Raw genomic sequence first — 18,143 nt, forward strand, 5'->3', positions numbered from 1 at the left:
ATTTGTAAAACTCCTGTTTATTTTAGGAATAACTACCTGAGCCCCTCCATATTGAGTGTGGCATCTTTCCCTTCCTACCTTCCTAAAAGCATTGTCTGCCTCAGTTGACCCAGTTTATAAGCAATTTTAACAGATTTTTAAATAAACAGAAGCCCCTGAAATGCAGATAAGTCGAATCAGGCCAATTTCCCAATTAAAGTATCTTGAAGGGAATGTGCAGTCATTTGGGGACCTGTACAATGTGCTACATTGTCAATTCACTTCTTCATTTTAAACAACCCCACCTCATACCAGCTTACTGCAGATCTCCTGAGAACTCCACAGAAGCATACTTTAAATATCAGACATTTTTCTTTAAAACATCTGGGATTCTCTTCAAGTGCTGGTAACTGAGGTTTATGTACTGGTGTGCCTATGTGGGTAAGAAATATGTACAGATACTGAATTTGCCTTTTTAAAAAAACATAATTTTTATGCATCTTGCTGTAATCTTTGCAGGCTCTGCAATCTTTACAAATGCCTTGTAAAGACCTTTGAGCTTCTGTGAAGTACATGTCTATGATGCCATATATTCTAGGTTTAAGTGCAAAAAAAAAAAAGAGAGCAAACAGCTTCTCAGAAATCAGATTATTATTCACGGTGTCTTTTGTTGCCGTTGTGTTGCTTTGTTAGCATAATACCCTCTATGCTACCGGTAATCCATTTGTTTCCAGAATTTACTTGGGACACACAACTTGGGAAGAGTTTACTATGAGCCCATTAAAGATCGACATGGAAACATACTCATAGTCACCATCAGGGAGGTGGAGATGCTTTATTCATTTTTTAATGGCAAATGGATGCAGATCTCAAAGCTGCAAAGCCAGAGAAAGTCTCTATCAACACCTGAGGAGCCAACAGCTTTAGACATTCTACTGATAACCATCCAGGTATGTAGTTTTTTTCTTAATTCCCGGGTATACTTAAGGTTCCAAACCCAATTATTGAAGGTCTAGTGAAATATTGCAAGAGCCATTTACATATGCAGTGATGGAGTGGAGAGGGTCCAGAGATATGTTGTTGCAAATGCAGAAGCTTATTTTTTATTTATCACTCCCTAGATGTGGAATTCATTCATACAAATAGTGGGCACCTAATAAAGCATTTTCATGCCCTGGCCAATGAGCCAGTAAGAAACATTGAGGCCAGGCGCAGTGGCTCATGCCTGTAATCCCAACACTTTGGGACCAAGGTGGGTAGATCACTTGAGGTCAGGAGTTCAAGACCAGCCTGGCCAACATGGTGAAACCCCATCTCTACTAAAAATACAAAAAAATAAATAAATAAATAGCTGGGTATGTGGTGCACACTTATAATCTCAGCTGCTTGGGGGGCTGAGGCGGGGAGAATCGCTGGAACCTGGGAGGCGGGTTGCAGTGAGCCAAGATTGTGCGACTGCCCTCCAGCCTGGACAACAGAGTAAGACTCTGTCTCAAAAAGAAAAGAAAACAAACATTGAGACCAATAATTGAGTAGGGGATAGGGAATCTCTAGATAGTATAATCAAAACATTAAACCAATATCTGAATGAACTGTAATGACAATACATTTCTAAATTGTATATATATGTGTGCATGTGTGTGTATTTGAGTGTGTGTACATGGGTGTGTATGTACAAAAACACTCTCACACATATTTACTCCTGCATGTTCCTTACGATACTCCCTTGGGACAGACAGGCATGATTAAGTCCATTTTAGGAATGAAATAACTAGAGGCTGGGCGCAGTGGCTCACACCTGTAATCGTAGCACTTTGGGAGGCCAAGGCAGGCAGGTCACCTGAGGTCAGGGGTTCAAGACCAACCTGGCCAACATGGTGAAACCCCATCTTTACTAGAAATACAAAAATTAGCCAGTTGTGATGGCAGCCACCTCTAATCCCGGCTACTCAGGAGGCTGAGGCAGAATTGCTTGAACCAGGGAGGTGGAGGTTGCAGTGAGCCGAGATCACGCTACTGCACTCCAGCCTGGGTGACGGAGTGAGAATCCATCTTAAAAAAAAAAAAAAGAAAGAAAAGAAAAGAAAGAGAGAGAAAGAAAGAAAGAGAGAAAGAAAGAAACAAAGAAAGAAAGAAAGAAAGAAAGAAAGAAAGAAAGAAAGAAAGAAAGAAGAAAGAAAGAAAGAAAGAAAGAAAGAAAGAAAGAAAGAAAGAAAGAAAGAAAGAAAGAAAAAGGGAAAGAAAGAAAGAACTAGAGCTCAAAGAGGTTAAATGACATAGAGCTACACACAGAGGCAATTTAGTGAAGCTAATGAAGCTTTGATGTCCTTCAGCCTTCACTTGTACAAGCCTCTTCTATGTCCTTGCAGGGACCCTAGCAGCTTTGCTTTCATAACTTTGTGTTGTTTTCCTTAAAAAAGACACCAGAAACTATATCCACTTGAGTCTCCACAAAACTTGATTTTGTCCCTTGGCACACAGCTAGAAAATGACAGAGCTGAGGCTTCAGTTCAGATCTTCTGATTGCAAATCAGGCTTCTTTCTGCTACATTATGTCATATTTTGAGGTAGAAGTCAGGATTTTAGTGAGTGGGGGACAGGAAATGAAATAAAGGATAAAAGACTTACTTGAATACTGAATAGCCACCAAAATTCAAAATCCAGGTAGCTCAGATGCAGCCCTTGGCCTGGATGGTGGAATTGGGACACCAACCCATGTATGCTCCTGAGTCCAGCACGCTCTCTCTGCCTCACACATTCTTTTGTGAACATGGGCTTCAAACTGTTTCTTTTTTTCTTTCTCTGTTTTTTTTTTAATCCAGTGATAGGGATGAATTGTATAGGACACTTAGGTTAGGTAGAAAAGCTGGCAGAAACATCTACACTGAGCCCCCTGCAAGCAGTAGCATATCCACAGACAGCCACAGAGAGAAGGAAGGACCCAGTTGCACAGAAACAACCCAAATCTGACCTTCCGTCCTGGGAGCCATCTGTGGTCACCCTAAACGGCTAACTTACTTTCTAAGTTACTTTCATTCCCCGCCAAGGGGTGGCAAGTACAATAATCTCATTTTTTCATTACTTGCACCGGCCCAAACCAGGACAAAGGCCAATGAAGCAAAGGTAAGCTAATTGGTCAAAGCCAATACCTCTGGATTTAATTTTGTGGAATTTGGGTTCATAGGGAATTGACAGAGAGTATGTGCTTGTGTGAAGGAGGTGGGGGCAGGGAACACAGACACATTTGAGGCTCCCCTCTTCACCTTTTATAAGCAAGTGCTAAAAGAAACATTTAAAAAATCATAATAAATTGAGCTTTTACAGGGTGACTAATACACTAATCCCCTATAGGGATAAACTAGGGTCTGGGCTACCTTTGCTCCTAGAAACACAGCACAGGCCTCAACATGATATAATACCTGGTTTCTCCTAGACTTATTACATTAAAAATGTGTTACAGGTGCAGAAAAATTCCAATCTGGTGAAAGGTTGTTAGAGAAGGAAACCAAAAATAGAGGCAGGATCGGGTTTCCACACAGATCCAAGTGGAAAATTTACCCCCGCTGACTGGCACATTCCCACCTGATGTCATTCCCACCCACCCCCACTCTCCCTTCTCCTCCCCCTACTTCTTCTCTCTCCCCTCCTTCCCATACAAGTCTCACACTAGAGAGGAAATGGGGAATAAAACTATGAGGGCTGGTATCCAATCCCTCCTAGACTTAAGATTTAATTATATCAGGAGTTGGCCCCACCAACTCAACATAAAGGGAGAGATAGGTCTTGGTGGTACCCAAAGCAGGCTGGTAATTCCCACAATAACAGGCCACAGACCACTCTCTTTTCTCAGGGGTGGTGGAGTGATGACCACCAGGCCTTCTCATTGGAAGCCTGGGCTTCTGTCTGCTACATCACATCACATTCTGTGCACCACTTTGAAATCAGGATGACTGGGTGTGAATACCGACTCCACCCTTTCTGGTTATGTGTCCAGGGCATTATTTAACTTCTCATCCCTCACAGTTCCTCCTCTGCAAAAAACCTACTTCATAGGGTTCTAATGAAGATAGGTGAGTTAGTACATACATGATTAAAAGAGTAGCACAAAGTAGTGCTCAATAAATATTAGTGATTTTTATTATGTCTCAGAAAATTTTTTTTCTTTTTATTTTTATTTTACTTTAAGTTCCAGGGTACAAGTGCAGGATGTGCAGGTTTGTTACATTGGTGTGCCATGGTGATCTGCTGCACCTATCAATCCATCACCTAGATATTAAGCCCAGCATGCATTAGCTATTTTTCCTGATGCTCTCCCTCCCCTTGCCCCTACCAACAGGCCCCAATGTAGGTTGTTCCCCTCCCTGTGTCCATGTGTTCTCATTGTTCAGCTCTCACTTATAAGTGAGAACACATAGTGTTTGGTTTTCTGTTCCTGCATTAGTTTGCTGAGGATAGTAGCTTCCAGCTCCATCCATGTCCCCGCAAAGGACATGATCTCATTCCTTCTTATGGCTGCATAGTATTCCATGGTGTATATGCACCACATTTTCTTTATCCAGTCTATCATTGATGGGCATTTGAGTTGATTCCATGTCTTTGCTATGGGAAATAATGCTGCAGTGAACATACGTGTGCACATGTCTTTATAATAGAATGATTTATATTCTTTTGGGTATATACCCAGTAATGGGATTGCTGGGTCAAATAGTATTTCTGATTCTAGGTCTTTGAGGAATTGCCACACCATCTGCCACATTATTGAACTAATTTACATTTCCACCAACACTGTAAAAGCTTTCCTATTTCTCTGCAGCCTTGCCAGCATCTGTTGTTTCTTGAATTTGTATTAATAATAATCACCATTCATGTCTCAGAAAATTTTAAGCAATGCTAGGCTGCCCTCAGGACACACCCAGTCCACAGAGACCTCTGGTAATGGCCTAATCATTCTGTGGGGCATTTTTTCATGTTTTCTACCTTTCCATCACAACTAAGGAAAAGCTGTACAAAAGTTATGATCCACGACGGGGTTTTCAAAACAGATAGGGCTTTAACAAAATCTGGGCCCATAAATAATCTACGAATCCCTAGGGCCCCAGGGAAACTCCAGTGTCCAACTCCCTCAAATTCCTGACCTTCTCAAATCCCAGGCCTTCAAAAGAGGCCTCTCTCATTTATCTGTGAAAGAGCAAAAAATCCTCCTCACCCTTGCCTGGGAAGGAAAAGAGAGTTATTGTGGACAAGAGTCCCTATGAGCAAAGTAATTGGCAATGAGAGTATTTCCAACAGAAAGGCCCCTCTCAGGTGCTAAGTTGCTCCGACCATTCTCTTCAGGGATCACTTCAGTCCCTAGAAGCCTCACATGCAAGCTTTTTCCTGAAGCTTAATCTCTCACATGTGTACTATATATTCAACTTTCCAACACTTTGTCACATCTATGATATCATTTGATCCTCATGCAAACCCAAAGAGGATGAGTGAGTCGTTTTGTGTCCAGTTTGCAGAAGAAGCCGTGAATTTCAAGGAAGTACCTTGTCAAGTCATATCAACTAGAAGAGGGACCAAACCCACAACTTCTGACTCCTAGGCTGATGGCCTTCCCATTTCACCATGCTGCTGTACACACCTTCCTCCCCGCCCCCACCCCTGCTTTTCTCTGCATCCTTTGTGATCCTAGGGAAGCTGTGGCGAAGGATGTCTTCTGTTCCTTCTCTTCCCTGCTTTCCTTTTCTTCTGCTTAGGCATTCCTTATCACCTCTAGGTATTCAGTGTCTTCTTCTTACACCCTAGGTGCCCAGGACCTCTTCTTCCCTTTTCTGCTTTTTTTCCAGCACATTCCTACTCTTTCTACCCCCAAGCAGCTCCAAACACAAGGATCAAAAACTACAGGAATCAGAAAGATTGCTGGAAATGAGGCAATTGGGCTGGACTTAGGAAACAATTGGGTTCATGTAAAAACTTGTTCACCAATGTTCATAGAAGCATTATTCACAATAGCCAAACAGTAGAAGTAAACTAGATGGCAAACAACTGACGAATGGGTAAACAAAATGTGGTATATCCATATAATGGAATATTATTCAGCCATTAAAATGAATCACATATGATCCATGCTACGACTTGGATGAACCTTGAAAATGTAATGCTGAGTGAAAGAAGCCAGACACAAAGTGCTAAATGTTGTATGATTCCACTTATATGCTATGCCCAGAATAGGCAAATCCATGCAGACAGAAAGTAGATTAGTGGTTTCAGGAACAGCAGGCGGAGAGATAGGGGAATGACAGCTAATGAATGTGTGGTTTCTTTCTAAAATGATGAAAATGGTCTGGCATTAGACACTGGTGATAGTTGCACAACCAAGTGAATACGCTAAAACCACTGAATTACATACTTGAACAGGGTGAATTTTATGGTATATGAGTTATAACTCAATTAAAATAAAAAGAAACAAGTGTAAGTAAAAGAGACTACATTAATCTTGTCCCCTTTAAAGACAGCAGCTCCGATTCAGCCTCAGCTAATTACAGTGGAAGAATGTGGTCCCAGTCTTGAAATATTTTCAGTGTTTTGAAGAGAAGTTGAAAATCAAAAATTTTGGTAAAGTCTTTTTATTTTTATAATTTAGAAAATAATTCAGAAAACTAAATTATTTGCAGTCCATATAATCTTGGACCTACAAAGACCACTAGCCACCATTTTGTCACCTCTACCATCATGGATGGTTGAGTTTTCATACTCCATCCAACAAAATAAAAGTGCTGTAGTTATTGAAAAAGCAACTACCTATTGTTCCTCTAACAAGCTCTCAGGATCTCTGATCAATGACGAGAAGGTGGATATACCCTTCCTAGTCACTGTGCAAGCACAGCATATTTTCTCCCTGAAGACCAGCCCCAGACCCCACCTCCTCTGATCTTCTCACTTCATATTTAATGAATAATTTTTTCAGTGTCAACTAGGTACCAGACACTCTTCTAGGTGCTACAGAAAAAAACAAATGAATAAGTCAAGGTCCCTACTTTTAAGGAATTCAGTCAAACGAAGACAGACAGATTTGTAAACAAATCAAGGTAATACAAGACAGAATTAAACCAGAGCCTGATAGCAGTACAAACAGTGTACTATGGGGAACACAGACAAAGCAGCTATTAATTCTGCCTGAAAATATCAGGGAAGGCATTGCAGAAGAGATGGCATTTGGCTGAGCCATGAGGGTAGTTAAGTTAACCAGGTGGAAAAAAAGAAAGAGAGAGAAAGAACAAAATAAAGGAGAGAAGAAAGAAGGAATTAAATAGATGGAATTAAATTGAGAGCATGATAAAGAAATGAGGCAGAAACTGGAAGAGTGGATTTCACCCTCCCTTAGGCCCACAATAGGCCTTACACAGTCTTCTTATGGCCTCTATGATGTTGGGTGAGAAAAACTTGCTTACATGATTCTCTCACACTGAAATGTGAGTTCCATGAAGGGAAGGATCATGTTTTATTCATCTCGATGTCATCAATATCCTAGCCACAAGACTGATACATAGTAAGTGCTCAGTAAAAGTTGGTAAAATGAGTGAATTTGTGAAACAACAATCAAAACAGTGAGACTAGGGCATGTATGGGGAAAGAAAAAACAATCCATTTTGGCTAGAGATAAGGAACACAAAAGGGCTATAGTGGAAATGGAGGTTGGAAAAGCAGATTAGAGGTCAAATCAGGTAATATGTAGAATCACAGGCATTCAATTTGGTGTTAGAAGGCCTTTTTAGGCTGGGTGCAGTGGCTCACACCTATAATCCCAGCACTTTGGGAGGCTGAGGCAGGTAGATCACCTGAGCTCAGGAGTTCAAGACCAGCCTAGGCAACATGGCGAAACCCCATCTTTACTAAAAATACCAAAATTGGGTGGGCATGGTGGTGCACGCCTGTAATCCCAGCTACTCGGGAAGCTGAGGCAGGAGAATCGCTTGAACCCAGGAGACAGAGAATCGAGCCACCACACTCCAGCCTAGGCGACAAAGTGAGACTCCGTCTCAAAAAAAAAAAAAAAAAAAAAAAAGATGGCTTTTCTAGTGTATCATGGATTATGTGGATGAGACAGCTTCTTTCCATTCCCACACATTTCTCAGGCTCCAAAACATTTTAAAGAGGAAAAAATGACTACATAAAGGCAAGAAAACACAGAGTAGATGCTCAGTAATAGTCTTAAAAAATTGAATGAAAGAGTGAGTTACTCCATCCCAGAATGCTGTTGGTTTTTATATAATCACAGTGTACTCCTAGCTCACATTCTATTTGTGGTCAGTTCTGACCCCCACATGTTTTTCTGTGATACTCTTACCTATCCTATATTTGTATTCTTGGATGTAGGTCTTTATAAGCACATTTTCATATTAAGTTTCAACCGTAATTATCATAGCCTTATTTTTTCAATGCATAGGGTCATTTAGAACTTTATTACTGTTTTCCAGAAAAGCAAAACCATACCAAATTTGGGACCCACAAATTTGATGCACACATTCTTGATTTCTTTGTCCAGAATGTCAATAAATAAGCTGAACAGACTGGTCCTCAGGACCAATCCCTACTGGACCATCACTCAATATGTCTACTATTTATTCACCATCTCCATTATCTACAAATCTTCCACCCAGATATTCAGCTTGTTAAAAGCAACGTAGTCCAGATTCTACTTTTCTGAGGTTATACAGTGAAACAGATTATACTGGAGACTTCTCTCTGGTCTTGTTCTATTGCTATAATAAATTAAGGTAATCTGTATGATTTGCTCTCACAGAACCATGTTGACTCCTCTTCAGTGTCTCAAGATTTCCTGGATGACTGCAAATTGATTGTTTGATGGTTCTTTCTCATTTTTCCTAAAGATCAATAAGTTGGTGGTCTTTAATTACTAGGGTCGTTCCGTGTTTCTCCCCTTCCTGTTTCAAAGACAGCCATATTTGTCCTTTTCTGGTCTTTAGGGACTTCTCCAGTTCTCCATGACTTCTCAAAAGTAATGACCTGTGAGTCTGTAGCCACATCTGTTTGTCTAGCAAGTATCCCAAGGTGCATATCATCAAATTCAGTGAATTTGAATACTTCCATTTTTCCTTCCCTCATTAACAATTTCTCTTCCTTTGATTAGTGTTCATTTCCCAAATTCCACCTTGACTGAATTTATTGTAGTCAACTACTTACTTGTGATCTAGGCTGAAGAGACAGGATAGAAGACATTAAAAAGTTCAGCCTTATCCATCCTGATATTAATAATAATTGCTTCTTGATCATGAGATCAAATTTTTTTTCTAGCCTATTCTTTTGGCCAAGTGATCTTTTAAAAAATTGTTTAGATTTTGCTTTTCTGCACATGCTCATTAGATGTTTCTCCCAGTTGTGACCATTCTTATTCTATCCCTCTTCTACTATTCCCTTATGTTCTGTTTAAGGCATCTGTCCTAATTTTCCACATGTTGTGTACCTATTTTATACAGAAAAGTACTGGGTACTAAGGACACAAAGCAATGAAAAACATAGCCTTACCATTAATTTCACAGTTTAGTTCAAGAAAATAACACGAAAGAAAAATATAAGTACTCCTTCTGCTGTAAGCCTACACTGCCTCTATTATAAAACTGATTTCAATATATTGTGATCATCTGTTTACTTCTCCTTTTTGACCTCCTCAAAAGTAGGGATGACATCATATTCATCTGAAACCCCAATGTCTCACATGGTGCCTGACACATTATAGGGACTCAATATGTGTTTGATAAAGGATGAGACAGAGGAGACAATGTACAATAACATCTGCTAGATGTTGCAGATGGTTAATTCTACAGAGGAAAGATCACTCCTCTAGAGTATGATGGTCAAGGAAGATCCCATACTTTTCCATTCCATATAGAATTCTATAGACATTTCAATGTTTGTTTTCTCACCTTCCCTGAATTTAATGGTAGAGTTGATTCCCTTTACCTTACCCTTTTAAATATTTTCATTAGTATTATTTTAATTGACAAGTTATATTTGGATATAGTTGTGGGGTACAAAGTGATGTTTTGATATATGTATACAATGTAGAATGACTGAATCAAGCTAATTAACATATCCATCACCTCACTTACTTATCATTTCTTTGTGGTAAGGCACCTGAACTTTACTCTCTTAGTTGTTTAACCCTTGTTTTTTTGAAAACCAGGATATGCTCCTACTTACAGGAAACTTTCTCCTATACTAAGTGTATTAGTCCATTTTCACACTGCTATAAAGAACTACTTGAGACTGGATAATTTATGAGGAAGTTTAATTGAATCACAGCTCTGCAGGCTTAACAGGAAGTATGCCTGAGAGGCCTCAGTAAACTTACAATCACGGCAGAAAGTGAAGGGGAAGCAAACACGTCTTACCATGGCAGAGCGGGAGAAAGAGAGTGAGGCAGGAAGTGCCACACACTTTTAAACCATCAGATCTTGTGAGAACTCACTATCATGAGAACAGCAAGGAGGAAATCCACACCCATGACCCAGTTACCTCCCACCAGGCCCCTCCGCCAATTGAACATGAGATTTGGGTGGGGACACAAATCCAAACCATATTAATAAGTTACCTGACTCGTCACTCCTAACTTTGTGTCACAACCCCCACTGCCCAAATGTAAAAGTTTTACCTACTGATGTGGAGGGATGGTATCTGAATTTTGTAATTATTCGTTATCTGAGTCCCTGCAGTTGTATAGAGAATCAAAAGTCACAACCCAAATAGTTCACTGGAGAACTGACCACACAAAAAACAAGATTCCATTCAAACATCCCTGTACTTAACTTGGTTGACACTTACTATTGAATCAACAGCTTTGTTCAGTCTCTGCTGCTTTTGGAATATTATGATGTGACAATATAATGCAAATTCAATGAAAATCCATTACAGGGCAAAATTTAAAATCTTGTAAAAGATACAGAATTCAGTGAAGCTGATGATGTAGAGACCTAATCAAATAACATGCAAAGCCACTGACAACTGAGAATCTAGAAGTGGTAGACCAGTTAAGGATTTGAAAAACATAACACAAGCAAGGATTTCATAAGAGTGTGACTTGAATATCAACATTTTTTAAAAGATGCCTGGAAAAAAATGTGAAGACTTCAAATACTTTTATAAACATTATCTTCTTCGTGGTTGCATTGTAAAAGTCAAATATAAGTAGTATCATTTTAGCTATCATACAATTTAATTTTAAAAATCAAGCCAAAAAATAACCAGTGCTTGATTCATTCTTTCTTCATTCTCAGAATTAGTGCGTAATTATAGCTACAACTTAAATGTTAACATAAAATTCAATAAACCTCTTGGCAGTACCTTTTTAATTTTCAAGATAAGGAACCTACTTACTATAAAATTTGGATTCTATTTTAAATCATTTTTCTTAAACGACTTTTCCATTTTAACAATCCAGAAATTACAACGCTTCCTTAACTGTGCTGTCAGCTTTTACACTTGCAAATATCTGTTTTCTCCCAGCTAAACATTAAAATCTTCAAGGACAGAAATTATCAACTCAATTTTTCTTTATTAGCTGCTTCCACCACCACCTATTCCCAAACACAACTCACACACCTACACTGGCACAGAAATCTTAGGCAAATAAGCATATAGAATATATTAAAAACTGATTACCTGGCCAAGAATTCTGCTGAAGGTAAGAGTAGCTGTACCACTATTTCCCCAGCATTCATGGTATACCTGAGGTTTCTCACCTAATTACTTAGTGACAGCTCCTTTCATTCATGACAAGCCTTCCTTAGAAAGGAAAAGGTTTTGAGATTGCCCTTCGAGTTGTTTTCTTGTTTTCTTTTTTTTTTTTTTTTTAACCCTACAGGATATTCTATCCTATCACAAAAGGAGTCATCAGCGTCTCTTTCCTGGATTATATCTGGGTTACCTAAAGCTCTGTAGCTCTGTGGATCAAATCAAAGTTCTTGTTACCCAAAAGTTGCCCAACATTCTCTGCCACGTGAAGATCCGTGAAAACAATAATATTTCTAGGTAAGTGATCAGGAGTTAAGATTTTCCTTGTGATGAAACAGTGGCTCAAGTGACCAGCTTGATGTGCCAGAAGGAAACTGAAGTGTTACTTCCAGGGCAGTTTTTATGGTGAGGTGTCCTCAGATGCCACACTGAAGTGGGGCAGAGCTTAGTTTTGGGGTTTTTTTTTGTTTTGTTGTTGTTGTTTTTTGAGACGGAGTTTCACTCTTGTTACCCAGGCTGGAGTACAATGGCGCAATATCAGCTCACTGCAACCTCTGCTTCCCAGATTCAAATGATTCTTCTGCCTCAGCCTCCCAAGTAGCTGGGATTACAGGTGTGCACCACCACGCCCAGCTAACTTTGTATTTTTAGTAGAGATGGGGTTTCACCATGTTGGTCGGGCTGGTCTCGAACTGCTGACCTCAGGTGATCCATTTGCCTCAGCCTCCCAAAGTGCTGGGATTACAGGCATGAGCCACCGTGCCCGGCCAGAGTTTAGTTTTAACATTAGAATAAGGAGGGCTTGCCTGATGGTTGGTGGAAGGCATGAGCCCATTAAAGAGGATACTGTCCTTTCACATTCCCCTCTATGTTACTCATGGTAAAACCACTGATGTTCAATCGGTTAATGAACAGCTGACCTTTTCTTTCAACACTGCTATTTCCAGTATATTTTCTTTATAATCTAAAACAGCCATGTTCTTTTTGCTTTCTGTTTTTAAATATCGCCTACAGGAATGGGTTTCATAGAGCCAATGATTCCCCCGATCTTAAAAAATCTCCTCACCCTCATTCTCCCTAACTCTAACCCTCTGGCCTGAGGACCTTGTATGTTTTCTACAACCCTTATAATTCTCTATGGAAGAAAAGAAGTAACAAGGCCCGAGCTTCTGGAAACTTGCTCTACAGTTTGGCATTTGGTGAATTACCCTGTTAGCTTTGGGAAAGTTGCCCAATCTTGGTAATCTGGCTCAACTTTACAACCCTCATAGCAGGCCTCTGAAAGTCTGCTATAATGAACTGAATTGTGCTCAACATAAAAAAAGAAAGAGAAGAAAAGAAAAAAAGGAAAGGAAGGAATAGACAAGAAAAAAAAAAGAAAGAAATTATCCAGAATTCTTCAGACCTCAAAGGGCATAAACTAGATACTCCCAAAGAGTATAAACTAGATTCTAGTTACACTCATGGATTTGCTTAGCCAAAGGAGACTCTAATTTGGTCATTTAAAATGTGACCCCTAAAGTGGCAAGACTTTATCAACTCTAATGTCTCACTAGGTTTCTTAAGTATTGCTTGATGACAATGGAGGAAATGATGATGAGGAGGAGGAGGGAACTCACTGACTACCATATTCTCTCTTCACTTATCAACTACACCTGGATTTTAAGTCTGCCATCTGGTGGTCATTGCCACAATCAACATTCGTTATCGCCTCAGTCCTTCCCAAAAGGTTACATTACACTCATCCATTTTCTAGATTTGTGTCTTAAAGGCTTGAACTCTATCTCCTAGTGGTTATACCAACTAATTTTCCCTTGCCAAGGATCCAGTTTTCATTTGTACAAAAGATTCCAGTAGCCTTTTCTCTGTCAGTTCCATCTCCTTCATCCTTCTAGCAGAAACTGATTAGTGGTAGGTGTTTTTACGATATTCCTACCGGTAATTTATTTTCTAACTTGATTACAAACGCTATGTTAGCCACGTTGTCCTTTAGGTTTATGCGTGCATATGCTAGTCACAAAACTCTCATTTTGTTCCATATCAGTGATGGGAAAAAAGAAACATTTCCCAAGCAGGTTCTCAAATATTTCAATTATTTGTGAAGCCAACAGTATGCCCAGATTGAAGTAGGATTTAATTTTGAGGTTTTGTTCTTTTCTTACTGGGACAAAGGGTAAATTTTCCATAGTCTTGTCCAGTGTGATACTTGAAATAAAACAGATATCTTGAAAACAGAAACTTTTCTAAGAGGGTAGTTAGTTAAAAGAGAGTAGTTTTTGATGAAAAGCTCATGCCACATTCAATTTGGTTTTCTGACCCACAGATTGGAGCCCAGCCTGGTAGAGCCCTTTGGGGAAAGCCTCAGAGAGTTTTCACTAGGGTGGGAACATATGTCAGCACCTCCTCTCTTTCCATCCCCTGAGAGGAGGGCTTTCCTTTCCTCTCTAGCCTGCTCCTGAGAGCCTACTGCTGCTCCCTGCAGAGTTCGAAGGAGAATCTGGGCCAACTGAATGTGTTTAGAGACTTGTGCTGAGAGACCTGTGGAAACAATGTTGCCCAAGAGGCATTTACCTTGATCTTTTCAAGCTCCTTTTGAAGAGCAGCCTTTGGGGGCAAACCAGATGTGCTTTCCTCCCACTGCCATTCTTTTCCCTTCCCTTCTGTGTGACATTTGGAAAAGTTCATTAGGAAGGATTATAGAGCATGCAGAATAAAGACACAGATTACTGGTTTGTAAGGAGGATGGAAGCAGTGATATGCATCCCTTGGTTCCTTATATTGGAATTGTCTGGTATTCCTGTTTGTGATTCTCCTCAAGCTTTTGGAAGGAGAGAAAAACCAAAATATCCCCCATGATTACAACAGGCCAGGGTTGAAATGTGCCAAGTGGTTTGTTGGCTGAGTTGGACCAGAGTCCTGTGGTTACTAAACTGCAGAATTAGCCAGTAGATGCCCCTGTGGTAAAACGTAGGATCTTAGAATTTACAGGGGATCTGCAGAGAAAGAAAAATGAAGACAGTCAGGAAATTATTACAAAATATTTGAGAACCCCAATCTCAAAAACTGATTCATACAAATTAGGCCTACTGTTCTGAGGTATATGTGGTTTGATAGGTGAACTAAGCTGAAATTAGAAAGAGATCATTTTAAGCTCCATTTGGGTGGCAAAATGTTCAAATTTCATGAATTACACTGAGTTTTAACCACCAAGCATTGGTTATCCAGGTTCTGGACACATACACTAAGAAAGTTCTGAGCTGTGTTCTGAACTTTTGTTATATTTCTAATTTTAACTTGACTCAACATACAGAGAGGAATGGGAATGGATCCAAAAGCTTTCTGGCTCTGAATCTATGGAAAGTGTGGATCATACTTCTGACTGCCCCATGCAATTGTTCTTCTACGAGCTCCAGATGGCAGTGAAAGCTCTCCTTCAGCAGATCAATATACCTCTACACCAGGTACTAGACTTTACCATTTTTATCTTCTTTTTTTATGGCTCATGGAAACTGCATTGTAACATTAAGTGGGGTGTGTGTGTGTGTGTGTGTGTGTGTGTGTGTGTAAATTTTCCTTTACTTAAACACCACTTTGCAAGTGCATGCACATTTTGAATTAATGCCCACAGGTAGACACAGCCTGCGCTTCTGTTCCTTTCCTCCAGCTCCTCTGTGTTGGACCTCTTTCACATTTTCTGGACCCCACTGTACTATGGTCTGGTCAGCAAAAAAAAAAAAAAAAAAAAAATCAATGGCTAGTCTACCTTAAAAGACAACCAGGCTCAGCTTCAAGATAGCATAAAGCAAAGAGAACATATAAATAAAGGTGTACTCACATGTACAAATGATTTCTCTAAGAATAGAAGGATAACGGTGGTATAATCTACAGCAATGTCCCAAGGATATGCCATGCTATTTTTTCTCAGAGAACTTTCTGTCAAAATTATTGTTGTATCTAAATCAAAATGTACAAATCTAACCTCCACTAATAAGCAACTTCAAGAAAAACTGTTGGCATAAAGGAGAATAGTAAAACTTTTTTAGGCTCTGCCCAATAGGTTAACATGAGGTAGCATTATTTAATTTTTTTGGCGGGGGGACCTATGTTCATCAATCCTGCCTCCCTCCCCAAAACACACACACACACACACACACGCACACACACACACATAATGAACCAAGTTTAGCCTGTAAACTGGGAGACCATTAGAGGAGCGACTGGCTCTCTTTAAATACGAGAGAGAACCATGAATTGGCCTCTAACCCATGGAGGCAGGGGAATAAATTAGAGTTCTAAGAATGTCCTTCCATTGGGGTGCTCTTTCGATTTTAAGTCTAAAACAGCCAACGCTAATGAAGACTAAATTGCACAAGATGCCATAAAGACAATAGAGAAGCAACTGGATTATTCTAAAGGTGGCCGTGTGTTCACTAGGAGAAAAAAAAGTAAGAGCTCCACTTGTGACACTAGATACTATTAAAGCGTTTCTTGGACTTAGCAGGTTTGAAGCAGCTCATATTTCATTGGTGACTCTTGGGCTACATATACATGTTGGGAGAAGGCTGCCTAACTGCCTAACAGTGCATACAACTTTTTTTTTTTTTGGATACTTGTAAAATTTTCTCAGTCCTTGGCCAGAAACTACGTTTTTCCCCCTTAACCAACTTAAATTGAAACTAGTGGATTTTTAATTCAATCCATTTTTGTTGCTTCATGTAATTATAGTCATCATTTTGAAAAGCCCACAGAATGCAATCATTTTCTGCTTTTATAAGAAGCATAAATGTTGTTTTCAGAGTTTATGTGGAACATTACTGCCTTAAATCTTGATTTTATATAGCATTATTAAATGGGCTGAACCCTAATATTTATGTTGTATAAAAATTCCAAGCTTGAAGTTGTGTAATTTTGTGAGATGTTTTATGCCAGTTTGGTGTTGTTTATGTAAGTGCCATGTTGTAACTCTCCTATTTTTCCTCCGCGCGTGTCCCTCTGCAGGCAAGGAACTTCCGCCTCTACACACAGGAGGTGTTGGAAATGGGTCACAATGTGTCCTTTCTTCTCCTGCTCCCTGCCTCAGACGACGTCTGTACAGCCCCAGGACAGAATAATCCTTACACCCCACACTCAGGGTTTCTTAACCTCCCTCTTCAGATGTTTGAACTTGGTATAGTAGCTTGTTTCACCTAGAAATATTAACCCAGCCTCCTTATAATAAAATCACAAAGTTATATCTGTTCCCCCTTGTCCCAGTGGAGGGTCAATAAATCACATGATGGCTTTGGCAACAACCCTTCCTAGAACTGTGTACAAGTCTGAGAAAAAGCAAAGCTCCAAGACTATGTGCCTGAGCAATAATTATTGAAACCTAGCAAAGGCCCAATGGAGAAGAAGGAATTCTAAACAGAAAGTTCAGTTATCAGGCTGGACTTCTTGCCTCCCTTCTGCTTTCTTAAAACGTAAATATAAAAACCGATGTTTTCATGAAAAGCACTGCCCCTTCTCTCTCTCTCTCACTCTCTTTTTCCCCTTCCCTCTCTCTCCCCACTTCCTTTCTCTCTCCTTTCCTCCCTTTCTCTCTCACCGTCCCCACATCCCCAACCAGAGAAAAAAATAATAATGAAATTTAAATGTAGAGTGCATATCACTTTGGAGGGGAAAAAAGCCTACAATTTTAAGTAGCACTGACTTATTAAATAGACTCTAAATTTCTGACAGACCATTTGAGAAATGGACAGGATCTCCCAGGATGCAATATTGTGATTATAATGTGGGATTCTGAATGGTGGAAGATCTTGTCCTGACTTTCAAAAATGAATAGCCTGGGCTCCAGTTTCTCTACTTTTGCAGAGACCCCTGCTGCCCACTGAGATTGTGAATAGGGAGGCTTTGTCCCCTTCCCATGCTTCATCTTGTAACAGGCCAGTAAGAGGCAATTAGCAAGAGTTCGGTCAGTTCAAATGAATTGTACAATTTGCAGGAGGGTGAGTGAGTGGGTGGGTGGAATGGAGGCAGACCCTCTCTGGATTGCTCCCCAGCCACCAGATTTAGAAGCAGACAAGGCCACTGCCTGATGTCTCATTTGAGCCCTGGGCAACTGCATCTGAATTTATCCCTCAAGGATGATATGCTTAAGCCTCTCAGTTTTCCTTGGTCCAAGCACTTCAGATGCCCAAAAACTGATGAACAGCAATTGTTACTTTCTAGAGGAGGGAGTGTTCTTACAAGAAGCTCAAATCAGACTCGTAGACTGGGACTTGAGAGTCCTGGATTCCCTATTGTGTGACACTGGCAATTGCTTAACCTTTCTACACCTTTTCTGTGTCACACAATTAATCACATTGGCCATACCACTCCCAAGAGGCCTGGATGTGAATGTGACCATTTAATGAGTTCCTCAGCCAAAAAGCATTTTTAGTCTGTAATAT

The 18,143-nt window shown here is 39.9% G+C and overlaps 1 protein-coding gene across 16 annotated transcripts in view; it reads left to right on the top strand.

Moving 5' to 3' along the window:
* The window catches only part of ANKFN1 (ankyrin repeat and fibronectin type III domain containing 1), a 470,940-nt gene that overhangs the window by 419,566 nt on the left and 33,231 nt on the right, over positions 1–18,143 (top strand). For 15 of the 16 annotated variants that reach the window (XM_047435502.1, XM_017024263.2, XM_011524430.3 and 12 more), the window contains 4 exons: positions 714–929; positions 11,846–12,012; positions 15,026–15,176; positions 16,714–16,882. In XM_047435502.1, coding sequence (XP_047291458.1) covers positions 714–929; positions 11,846–12,012; positions 15,026–15,176; positions 16,714–16,882 — 703 coding nt within the window. Of the gene's footprint in view, positions 1–713; positions 930–11,845; positions 12,013–15,025; positions 15,177–16,713; positions 17,007–18,143 lie in introns of those variants that run through there. The other variant, NM_153228.3, reaches the window with a different exon arrangement.

This window comes from Homo sapiens, chromosome 17, assembly GCF_000001405.40.
Source record: "Homo sapiens chromosome 17, GRCh38.p14 Primary Assembly".
Classification (NCBI taxonomy): domain Eukaryota; kingdom Metazoa; phylum Chordata; class Mammalia; order Primates; family Hominidae; genus Homo; species Homo sapiens.